This window comes from Homo sapiens, chromosome 12 (genome assembly GCF_000001405.40).
Source record: "Homo sapiens chromosome 12, GRCh38.p14 Primary Assembly".
NCBI lineage: Eukaryota > Metazoa > Chordata > Mammalia > Primates > Hominidae > Homo > Homo sapiens.
The window spans coordinates 66,692,893-66,705,408 of NC_000012.12; the positions used below are offsets into that span (position 1 = coordinate 66,692,893).

The following is a 12,516-nucleotide window of genomic DNA, read 5'->3' on the forward strand; positions in this document are numbered from 1 at the left end:
ATTTCGTAAGTCATGACTTGTGCTGAGGAGTCCTGACCTAGAACAGTACCTAACATATAACAAATGCTGGAAACCACTGTAACCTAACTTCATAGGGTGTTGAGAATGTTACAGGAGTTATGAATAAAGTGTTTAGGATAGTGCTTGATACATAAAAAGTGCTAGGGTGTTAGTCATTATTACTATGAATGTTGTTATAATAGTAACCAATAATTAGTAGTACCAGAGTTCCTTAACATAGTATGTCCCAAGAGAGCCAGGTCATGAGCTTATGAATGACAGGGTGATGTCTAAACTCAGGTTATCAAACTGGCAGCTCCAGGGCCACACGTGACCTGTAAGTACGCTCGTTTTGCCTGAGCTATGTTTAGAAATGTTTTAAATTATTTGCACACTTCAGAAATGTCTATAGTTTATTTAAAGTTATGGGTTTGTGGATTCTCTTTAAAAATCAAGAGCTCATTTCACATTGGGCCTGCATTCCCGCATGCAACTCTCAGTTGGGGCTGGACAATGGTGGCCTCTTTGGATATTTGGGGCATACATTCTCCAGGTCACCCCAGTCCCCACTAGGGTTCCTTCATTCACTGTTATCTGCCTGGCCCTTGTAGGCACCTGAGTTTGCTGTCCTTCTCCCTTGAATCTATTTTAGGCCTTCCGGGGTGATATGCTCTCAGACAGAATTTTTTTAAACACATTCTGGGCCCATCTGAGAATATGATTTTACTGGAGCTCTCCCCGGTAAAATGTACACAAATTTATATGCTCACATGACAACTGCAAGTGGACCACGGACTCCCTAAAGCCCATTCATGAAAAAATTTCCTGTTTTATGGGTCTATTCATGGACAAGAAAATTCCATTAATCCTCATTCTTCATTAGATCACTATTGTATCAAGGCGAATCCCATGATTTTAAAAATAGAAATTATACAGATACATAAAATGAAGGACTATGCTCAGGAAGAGTAAATCCTTTGAACTGATGATAAATTTAGTGGTTGATTTGATTGCACTCAAATTTGGCATCTTTATAACAAAACACCACACCAACTTGCTATCTAATTTCACCTCCTAAACACTTCTCAATTCTGCTACCTCTTCTCCAGATTTCTTAGCACTCTCAGGGCCACTGCCAGCCCAGACGGTACTATTATGAGCATCAGAAACAGCATCTCTTCCTCAAGACATTTTACTGCCATCTGCTGGGGAAAATGTGTCATACTAACTACATAGATTCATCACATCTAAGATGAGAATGCCACATACTAGACAGGGGTCCTTGAGGAGTGCACACCTGCAGAACAGTTTCCAGCATGATTTGAGTTGTGAGCATCCCTGACATGGGCTAAGCATTTCTACTTGAGGCCATTATCCAGAGGAGGCAGCAGAGAGTGGCCATTATGAGCTTTGTAGTTTTGAGTTTTTAAAAAACTTTTTTATTTTGAATTACTTTTAGACTTAATGAAAAGCTGCAAAAAAATGTGGAAACAGAGAGTTTCCACATATCCTTTACCTCTTCCCCAAGGAGATTTCATCCTATAATAATAAAAACAAGGGTTTGAATCATGATTCTGATAGGATCTTGGCAGATGGGCACAGTGCCAGCTCACAGTAAATGCTCAGTACGTATTATTATATGTTGTTATCATCTGCTAGCATCACTTTCCTTAACTATAAATGAAGATAATAAAAATATCTAGTGTGAGGATTATGTTACATTATTAGTAAAGTATTTAGCATAGTGCGTGATAAACAGTAATACTATTATTGATATTGCTGGTGATATTAACTTATTATTTCTGAGGTCTAATATTCTTCCCCAACCCACAGTCACCTAGTACACTGACATCCTGGTTTTCTAAGTATAAAATTATAAGTCATTACTATTCCTGAGATGCTTCCATATCCCAGGGAATAGATGCTGGTAACCAGTTCCCGGATTACCACAGTAGACATCCCAAAGATCAGGAAATACCCAGAGCCTAAGGGCAGAGCTAGTTGCAGGCTGAGGGTATGGCTAAGTGAGATCTCCTTTTGTGTCTTATCTGAGGTCCAACATCTCTCTGAAGCACTAAAGTCTTACTGATAACTGTTGTTGTTATAATTTCATAAAACAAAGGCAAATCTTTTTAAAATAAGGAAGAAAGCTTTTTATTCCCACTTCCAAATCATCTGTCTCTAACCAAGTCATAAAGACCATCAGGCTGCCAGTGCAGTACGATGTGTTAGATGTTCAACAGGAGTTCCTAGAACAGGCTCTACCTCCTCTGGGTGGAGAAGTGGGGCTGACCATGTGTGAGGAGGAGCCTTGCTCATAGGGGGAAGACACTTTTCTCAAAGCACTCCTCAACTGCTGACCCAGCATGCAATCTAACCTGTTTTTTTTTTTTTTATGGCATCTGTTTACACAAATTCTGACCAGGTGGCAAATTCTTCCCCTCTCCTGTCAGCCACAGTATGCTGGACAGAGAACACCTGTTCCAGAAGTGGACTGATTAGCCCAAGGTTGGGATACACAGCACGAGCTATGGGCCACACGAGAGGAGGAGATCCTGTGACTTGTCGGTGGTTGGCTCCACTCCTCCTCTTGGCCCTAGTCCATGTCTACCACTAATGGGATTGATCCATGGGCATAAATCTGAAAGCCCTTGCTAGGCAGGTAGGAGGTTATCTTATCCAAAACTGCTACAGTGTTGTTGCTAGCTGAAAGCAAATGTTTCAAGCACTGGGGAGGGAACTAGAGGTACAAAATTGAGGTTGATAATCTTCGTTTTTAAGGAGCTTCTTGGGGAGGGCATTGGTGAAGGTGATAGAATGGAATAAAAATATCACTTAATGAATATCTTTTCTGCAATGTCATTTACATATGCAGGGTATCTTTAAACAAGTAACAATAATTCAGTGGAATATCAGCTTTATTGATACTATCAGTAGGATGTGTGGATGCAAAAGGGAGAAAACAAATTAGTGAGAAGAATGGATAAATGAGGCAGTAGGAAAGGTTCACAGAGGAGGTGGGACTGGAGGTGGATTGTGAAGGATAACTAAGAGTCTGTCCATGGTGGAGCAGGCAAATATTCCAGGAGAAGAAAGAACTGGTAGCATGGGGCAAATGGGAATGAAGCTTGAAAGAAAACGGAAAAACTAAATGAAGAGGGGAAGAGAGAATCAAATCACAATATAGGCATAAAATGGAATAAGCTAATGATTAGCAAAATTACTATTATCTCAAAACCCCATTTTTTTTTTAAAGGACAACTCATAACACTTACCAGCTGTGCCACTCTTTAGGGTACTTTCACATCTCAAGAATGGTCCTTTGACCCAGTAGACATACAGAAACACAAGTCAACCTATTCATTTCTCTCAATCTACAGAAAACTCTAGCTCTGCAAGCTCCTTGTCATTTGAAGAATTTGATTCCTGATGAGTAAGTTGCTAGCCTAAAGAAAAATACCAATCTAAACATTATTAAGGACAGTGTAACAAAGAAGACATTCTACAAATTCTTTATTCCTGATAGTCATAAAGAGGCTACAAAGAGAATGAGTTAGAGAAAGGTGGAACATACTCAGCATGAAAAAGAAATTTTAAAAAGAATTATGGTTAGGCCAGGCGTGGTGGCTCTCGTCTGTAATCCCAGCACTTTGGGAGGCCGAGGCGGGCGGATCACAAGGTCAGGAGATCGAGACCATTCTGGCCAACACAGACCCCGTCTCTACTAAAAAAAACAAAAAACAAAAAACAAACAAACAAACAATTAGCTGGGCATGGTGGCGGGCACCTGTAGTCCCAGCTACTTGGGAGGCTGAGGCAGGAGAATGGCGTGAACCCGGGAGGCAGAGCTTGCAGTAAGCTGAGATCGCACCACTGCACTCCAGCCTGGGTGACAGAGCAAGACTCTGTCTCAAAAAAAAAAAAAAAAAAAAAAAAAAAAGAATTACTGTTATAGATTTTGTGATCCAAGAGGGATGTTAGGCAGCCTGCACCTAATAGAATTTGGTAGATGCAAAAAAAGTTGCTTGTTGAATAAATGACTGAATGTTCTACTTCAGTGGTTTATAAACTGTGCTTCCCAGAGGTGGTTCTGGGTTCTGTAAAGCACAAAGTAACTTCTGTACAACAGTGAAGTTTCAAACTACTCTGAAGACAAGTGTGATCCCAGTGCCTGACATATAGCAGGTGCTTTATAAACATTTGGTAGTGAATGAATGAAGGAACAAGCAAATGTATTAATGGATAGAGGAATGGAATAGTTTGAACTTTAACAACCATGAACAAAAGGACTAAAATCTAAAGGGAAAAAAGACCAATTTTCCTTCTCTCCTGACCTATCTCAAACTCCATCCTTGCTGTAACTTATTTCCTTTTGCATCAAGGGAAATATAAAAATGACAATGACCTTTCCCTCACATCAGAGAGAGGTGGAAAGAATAAATATGTTAATATGTGCAAAGCTTCCAGACTTCCTTAGAGAGAGCCACTACAGGTATTAATTTAATTATTATGAGCTTCTTGCAGAAACACAGCTGTTACACCTTTAAACAAACCATTTTTGATAATATTTCAGTTATCTTCAAACAGAAGGCAGAATGGGCTAGATAACCATAGGGAAATGGCCGACAACACAAATGCACCTGGCCCTCAGCTCCAGACTCACTTGGGGCTCAATTTGGGGCAGTCACACATTTGAGACTACTTTTTAAGATACTTTTGGTTTTGTGGTGAAGGGCTGAGAAGCGTGCTAACTGGCTGCACTGAGCTGAGTCAGGCACAGGGATGAAACTGATGCCTCTTTCTCTGTCCATAGACAGCTCCAAATCTGAACTAAATTCCAGGAGAGAAGGTGTAAGGAAGTGAAAAGCAACAGATTCGAAAGTATTTTTAGTGGGTTACTCTCTTTGTAGGAAGTTCTGGCCTTATTCAAACTATGTTTCTCATGTCTATATATTAGACAAATGGCTCTAATCAGCAAATGCAAATCAAGACCCCCTCAACAAAGCGAAGTGCAACAAGAATAAAAGCTTATTGATCCTCTTGTTATCGATCTGGACCATATATCTAGATTTCTCTGTATTCTACAACTAGAAAAAATCTTCAGTATGCAGTATTAAATACAGAAAAGAATTACGGTTACAGTATTTGTGATCCTATATTTGTAGAAAGCAATATGCTTTCTACAATATTTACAACAATCAGAGATTAGGAGCTTGAAAAAGAATGGAGCACATTGCTAAATGAGACTTGTGCCACCAGATATGGAGGTTCATGAGATTTGTCTCAAAATTCTTCTCTTCAATCAATATGTATCTAGACTTGAACATGCACTGAAAAGAATTAACATGTCAAAAATGTAACCAGGAGTGAACAAAGTAACTAAGATCACAATTAATTGTACTTAATTTAGAAAGAAAGTGTTTTTTACCTGTCAACTATGGGGAAACATCACTTTTTAGTATCAGGACGCCTTGTGTTTTTAAAAAATATTTGTTGAAGAGTAAAAGCTGTACCTGTGCCTTATTTTCATTTGCACACAGGATGTAAACACTTGAAAGTTCCACCATGAACCCACATTCTACACACGCAAGGCAGAACTTCACAAATGCTTCCCAGGACAGCTCTTTTTCAACTATTTCCTATTTGTCAGTTTGGCCACCAACCCGCAAGTCTCCTAGGCTAGAAATCTCGGCAGAGTTATTTTCTCTTTTCTTGCCTTCCTCCTTCCCTGTTTCTTGTTTGTTCGGTGAAGATAATAATAGTCTGGCCCCCCACCTCCTTTGTTGGCTCTAGGGTGGTCCTCCCACCCCATCCCCTCCAGAGGTTAATATGAATCTACCTATCGTATCTAGCTGCTCTGGAAGCCCAGTAGGTGGAAGCACCACTCAAGTCCTCTACCAATGTTACCATAACAAACTTGGTTATTTCTTTCTTTGACTTTTTAAAGCACAGTTTCTGGAGTAAGAAAAACTGTTCCTACTGTATGATTGTGGGCAAACTCATATTTTCATAAGTGGGGAAAACAGCAGCCTCTACCCTTGCAGCGTTGTTGGGAGGCTTAAGTGAAGTTCTCAGTCATGCAGCAGGCTCAGTAAATGCCAGCTGTTGCTACCATTACTATCATCTCCTGTCTATTCTCTTCTCACATCATCCAGCCCTCATCCACACCCACTTCACACTAGGTTACCACATGTGTCCCACAAGCAGATACTCATGACTAAACACCATCTTTCCCTTGGAGTACTGGATACTGGATACACAAACACAAGGAACAGCCTTTACTCTTAAGGAGGGTAAGTCTAGTGTCCCAGACAGACATATATAGATAATTAAAAGCAAAAATGCAGTAAGTTAGTACCTGGTGGGGCTTCTGTGGTTCAATAACTAACATTTCTTCTTTCTTATCAAAGGTCAGAAACAACAGAGAGTGATATGGCTTGGCTGTGTCCCCACCTGAATCTCATCTTGAATTGTAGCTCCCATAATTCCCATGTGTTGTGGGAGGGACCTAGTGGGAGATAATTGAATTATGGGTGCGGTTTCCCTCATACTGTTCTCATGGTAGTGAATAAGTCTCATGAGATCTGATGGTTTTATAAGGGGTTTCCCCTTTTACTCTTCCATTTGCTCTTGACTGCCACCATGTAAGACATGACTTTGCTCCTCATTCGCCTTCCACCATGATTGTGAAGTCTCCTCAGCTGTGTGGAACTGTGAGTTCATTAAGCCTCTTTCAGTCTTGGGAATGTCTTTATTATCAGTGTGAGAAGAGACTAATACAGAGAGGTATATAATGGAATCAGGCAGATGGCAAGCAAAATATCTCCTTTGTTACTAATAAAGCTGATATTGAAGAAAGTGGCTTAGTATGAGAGTTCAAAGGGCTGAATGGCACATCCTTACTCACAGGGACTTAAGCTGCTAATGTCACTAGCAGTGCTGAACAACCACATCCACCTGCATGAGGCCCGCCCTGTAGAATGAAGGGCGGGAAGGAGTCAAGGAGTACCAGCTCCCAAAGAGAAGAGAGAGGGAGGAACTGAGCATCACAAAGGAACACATTAGATACCTGAGTCCACCTCCTGGGAGGGGCAAGTCAGGGACTAGCATCATGCAGCAAGGCAGGGAGAGCTTCTCTTCTTCTGCCCAATCATTAGAGATTCAGAGTATTGTAGTAGCAGCAGAAGTGAGTATACAACCCAGATTGTGGTGGGGGCTGGGGGAAACCAGAGAAGGAACTCCTGGGGGAGTCTCAAAGGATAAACAAACGTTAGGAAAATAAAGTTAGAGAAAAGGGGAAAGATGTTCCAGGCAGAGGGAAAAGCATCAGTGAAGGAATGGATCTGAGGCATGGTGTGATGTATGCTGGAGCAACAGGTGCTTTGACATTTCTGGGGTTTTACTAAAAGTTCAGCCTGGGAGTGGCAAAGCATGAGGCTGGGGAGGTAGGCAGGAAAGGGATGGGCTGCGGAGCACATAGAGTGGCATGTTAGAGAGTGGGCTTTATCACAGGTGATGGGAACCAGTGCCAGTGGCAGCTTTTTTTTTTTTTTTTAAATTAAGATTTGGGGTTTCACCACATTGCCCAGGCTGGAGTGCAGTGGCTAGTCACAGGCATCATCACAGCTCACTGCAGCCTCAAACTCCTTGGCTTAAGTGATCCTCCCGCCTCAGGCTCCTGAGTAGCTAGGATGACAGGTGCATGCCACTGTGCCTAACTCAGTGAAAGCTTTTACCCAGAGACTGTGTTTTAGACACACTGCTCTGGTGGCTGCTAAGGATAGGCTGGGGGGGAGAATATCAAGTTAGCTTGGAGGATATTCTAGTACTGCTAGCAAGAGATGACAGGGGCCTGAACCAGGATGCTGGTATCAGGGAGCAACAAGACAGGAGGGATTTGAGAAATATTTTGGAGGTATGACTGACAGAACTTAGGAAATGCTTTATTGCTGTCTGAGGCTTTCTGGCTCCATGATGTCCTCTTTCCAACCCATTCTGAATCCCCCACGGGCTGCCTAAGGTCCTGCTATGGGTCAGCCACTATGCTATGTGCTTGACCTACATGTTCATCCTCAGACTAACCTCATGAGACAGGCTAACCTCATTAATAACTCCTGTCTGGCAGAGGAGGAAACAGGTTTGGAAAAGGGAAATCTAAGAAGACCTAGTGAATAGAAGATTGGGTTGGAATTCATATCTAGGTAGTCTGACTCCAAAACCCGTGCAACTAATAAACACAAACCCTCCCTTTTCTACACACATCCATTATGGTCCTACTCCTCTACTACTTTCCCCTATCACTTGAATTCCAAAGTGTTCTTCTGGGACTCCTCTGCCTCACCTTACCCCTTCCTCCTCTTCATAGCTGCCTCTTAGCCATTGCTTACTCTGATGCTTTTCCTTTGAGTAGCTCCAAGCTGCACGAGTACTTTAGCTCAACTACTTTAGTAGAATTACTTTAATAACACAAAAATACATTTATTTTGTCAATAGGAAATATATGTACAAGGTACAAGACATAAATAATGTAACTGGAAATACAGTAAAAAAAAGTAAATCCTCTCCAAGATCCTTTCTCCAGAGGCAACTACTGTTATCAGTTTATGAAATACATCTGGAAAGATGTACAAGAAACATACCAGAATAAATAACTGCAAGCTCTTTAGGCTGCCCATAGAAAGGCTTCTCCAACTTCTACCTTCACCACTTTTTTCCTCCTCTGGATTCCTCCTATTATCCACAGTGCAGTGCCCCAGAATTCAGCACACAATTAACCTCAAGTTGTTTCATAAATATAAGCCATGTCTCCTTAACAGCAATGGCTCTTACATACTAATCTGAGCATTAGACACACAGTAAGTGTTCAATAAATACCTGCTGATCAATTAAGCTTCCTTGAGTTAACCCTACACTTGCTTAAATGGCGTATTTCATGCAAACCTTTAGCTGAACCCATTCAAACAGCCTTTACAATGATTACTTTTGCAGTAGCTATATACTTAATTGGTCCTCACTCTCTTTTTAGAACTCTAACTGTACAAGCAGTTGAAAGAGTGATTTTTTAATGGATGCTGATGTTATAGTGAATACAGTCATTCAGAAGTCTAACACATTCAAGTATCACAGAGCTGGTCATGCAACACAAATTCCAATGCCACTCAGAATTCTGGTCATAAACGATGAGAAAAAGGGAGTAAAAATCCCTCCTGTATTACCCGAAGAACAGTATTATTTCTGCCATTTTAATCTGTTTACACTAGGCTATATACTCTGTTGGGCTAATCTTTAAATATTGGCCTTATTATATTCATGATATTCCATTAAAAGGCAAGCACCAGATGCATTTAATTTACTCTTCAGGGGTATGATTCTCAGATAATCTGTCAGAGAAGGACCAAATGCTTCTTTCACTGTGATGCAATGATATTTCTATCTAATAGTGCTCTAGAATTATATTTCCTCCCCAAATTTGGGATCTCTTATGCTAAATTCTCTGCTTTTGTTCTCTTGACAGTTTTCAGTCAGTTTAAATACCTAGAGTTCTGCTTTCAAGGTAATAGTTTTTTGATTTTTATTTTTAATGACAGCAAAAGTTCTATGAAAGAGTTCATGTATATGGCTTGCTCTGTGTATTTTACAAGCCCAAAGAAAATTACATTTCAGAGAAGGTACATATCCAATTACTAGGAAATGAGTTACAACAAAGTGGCCACAGAAGCAGTGTAATAAAGACAACCTCAATTAAAAAGTCTCCCTAACAAAGCAAAAAAGAGACACAATGCAATGCACATTAATAGCTTACTCAACACCTAAACACAGAGTGGGTGACAAAAAAGGAAACGTCTCTCTGGTACAAGTTAATGAATCATTCTACTTAACAAGAGGAGGTCTAGAAAGGGGTAAGGGTCTTTTCTGCAATCAATAGAAAGGAGCAGTTAGAATTCAAGAGAGAAAACAATACAGTAATCTTGGGAAATATTATTTTAGACAATACTTGTTAATTTTAAATAGTTTTAAAGAAACACCATGAGATAAAAGAAGTTAAAGCAAGCATATGTATTGTGCCATATACACCGTACTGATGACAGACTGAGCTCCTACCTTCACGGGACCTTTGGAAGATGGACATGTAAGTCACTGCAGTGTTGGGACTTCCAGGATAGAGTCTGCAACATTGCTTGAAGCACAGAGAGGAGATCTAATAGCCGGGAGAAAAGGAGTAGAGCAGATGAGGGTTCTAGGCATCAGCAAAGATATGGTGCCTTGACAGGGACTGGCCCACCTGGAGTGTGAATGTGATCTACTAAGGCTTAAGTTTGCTTGCAGTGTATGTGTGTATGTCTGTGTGTGCATGCACGCACATGTGCACATGCAGCAGGGAGAGTGGAATTAAGGTGAAAGAGTAGTGGATTTCTAAGACCTTGCCAAAGAATCTGAACTTCATCCCAAAAGTCATGAACTTCAGAAAGATTTTAAGCCAGAGAAGAGGCATGATAATATCTATATTAAAAAGACAATCAGGTAGCAAGTGTGGAGGATGCATGGGAGAGGGCAAAGGGAGAGGAGGGAAGATCCGCTAGGAGGTGGAGGCAATCATTCCTGCTGTAGGTGATGAGGAACTGAAAAGGAGCAGGGCTCATGATGGGTGGAAAGAAAGTAGAGATCCAAGGAATATGAATGACAGAGGATCAACAGGGCAACTGACACTGATGGGTGTCAGGAGAGGAAGAAAGAAGAGTCCAGGATGATGCCCAAACTTGATGCTTTGGTGACTGGTGAAGGGTGGAACACTCATTCACAGAACAAGAGATAAGCAAGGAGAAGCAGCCAAAACAACACCACAGATATGTAAAATTAAGAGTATCAACTTTAAACAAGAGCCATGGGTTGGGTGACATTATGCCTACTAGACATTAAGATATATTACAAATCCATAGTAATGAAAACCATGTGTGTGGGGTGGGGAGAGGGAAATGAGGAGTTAGTATTGATGATTGCACACCACTGTGACTGTAACAGATGTCACTAAATTATACACTTAAAAATGGTTCAAATGGTAAAAATAAGAAAAAGGGAAGGAAAAAAACACAAGTGACAAAGGTATGAGAAGGTACCCATGTGTCAATAAAAAAGAATAGATAGACCTAAAGCAGATCCCAGAATAAAAAGAATATAGTAGATGACAATAAAAGGATATATTTATATCAAAGATATAGATGGTGAAATTGACTAACTACTCCAAAATATCAATTTACATACATCACACAAACATCAAAATAAACTTTAGTTTGATAAGCATAACATGTAAACCAAAAGAACATAAAATATCTAGAAAAACATTTAGGTGAACATATCATCTTTTGATGAGGAAACATTTTCAAAGTATTAAAGCAATAGAAGAAATTATTAAAAAACAGATTTTTATAATTAAAAAAGCTAATGTTAAAAATTCAAATGTAATCAGAATTGTAAAGAATTTTATATAAATAAGAAAAATGTTAATATTATTCTATAAAGAACACATGTGGATCAGTAAAAAGATCACTAACAAGCAAATGGAAAAAATGGACAAAAGATGTGAAGAAACAGTGGGGGTAAAGAATCAACACAAATAACAAATAAACACATGAAAAACTCTTTAGTATCACAAGTAATCACAGAATTGTGAAACAGAACACTGAGATGTGGTTTTCATCTATTAAGTGTTCCCAAGCACTCTGCAGAATGTGTACCCCTACAGGTGGCAGGAAAGAGGTTAACAGAGTATCACTTTCCCAGAGAGCTTAAGAACCTTAAAAAATGTTTCTTTTCTCTCACCCATTAATTACATTGGAATGATTTATCCTAAAGAAACACAGCCAAGATTTTTCTATATCATTTTTCTTCTTGCTTAAAAATAAAAGCACTTGTTGATCCCTTCCTCCCATTATTCCTCTAGATAATTCCTCCATTTCATTCAAGTCTCAGCCTGTCTCTGAACCTTGATTGCACTGCCATCTCTCTTGTACACTGCCATAGCATCCTGAAGTCCTCTTCATGCATCTTATTATGCTTGTTCTGACAATAGTTTGTCTTTCTCTTGTCTAGATGTCTTATCTAGGCAGTAAGCTCCATGAAGGTCTTCTGCTCTATTACAATATACCCATCAATTAACAGAGCCCTTACTACAAAGTACTTGTTGAATGAAGGGATGCATTAATGATTAGTAAGAAGTAGGGCTGAAATCATTTTTACTTTTCTTTTTTCCCTAAGATTCCATGACAATTTTATGGGACTTTTCTATTAAGAATAACAGCAATGGAAGCCATTCAAAACAGCATCCTTTCATACAGTTCACCCACTGAACTAAAAGTCAATACTCTAAACTGTGAAATAGTTACTATGTAGGTAAAACTAATAAAACTATCCATTTAATGCTACAAAGAGAATAAAATACCTAGGAATACATCTAACAAGGGATATGAGGAGCCTCTTCAAAAAGAACTACAAACCACTGCCCAAGGAAATAAGAGAGGA

The 12,516-nt window shown here is 39.8% G+C and overlaps 1 protein-coding gene across 13 annotated transcripts in view, besides 1 other annotated feature; it reads right to left on the reverse strand.

Annotated features, from left to right (window-relative positions):
* GRIP1 (glutamate receptor interacting protein 1) overlaps positions 1 to 12,516 on the reverse strand; it is a 721,908-nt gene that overhangs the window by 345,462 nt on the left and 363,930 nt on the right. The window lies entirely within an intron of this gene.
* Positions 1,017 to 1,311: a silencer, noted in NCBI's record as "tiled region #5579; HepG2 Repressive non-DNase unmatched - State 13:Ctcf, and K562 Repressive DNase matched - State 12:CtcfO". NCBI's record gives its function as "represses a minimal TATA promoter and a strong SV40 promoter by Sharpr-MPRA in HepG2 and K562 cells {active_cell/tissue: HepG2 | K562}" and the evidence as "EXISTENCE:reporter gene assay evidence [ECO:0000049][PMID:27701403]".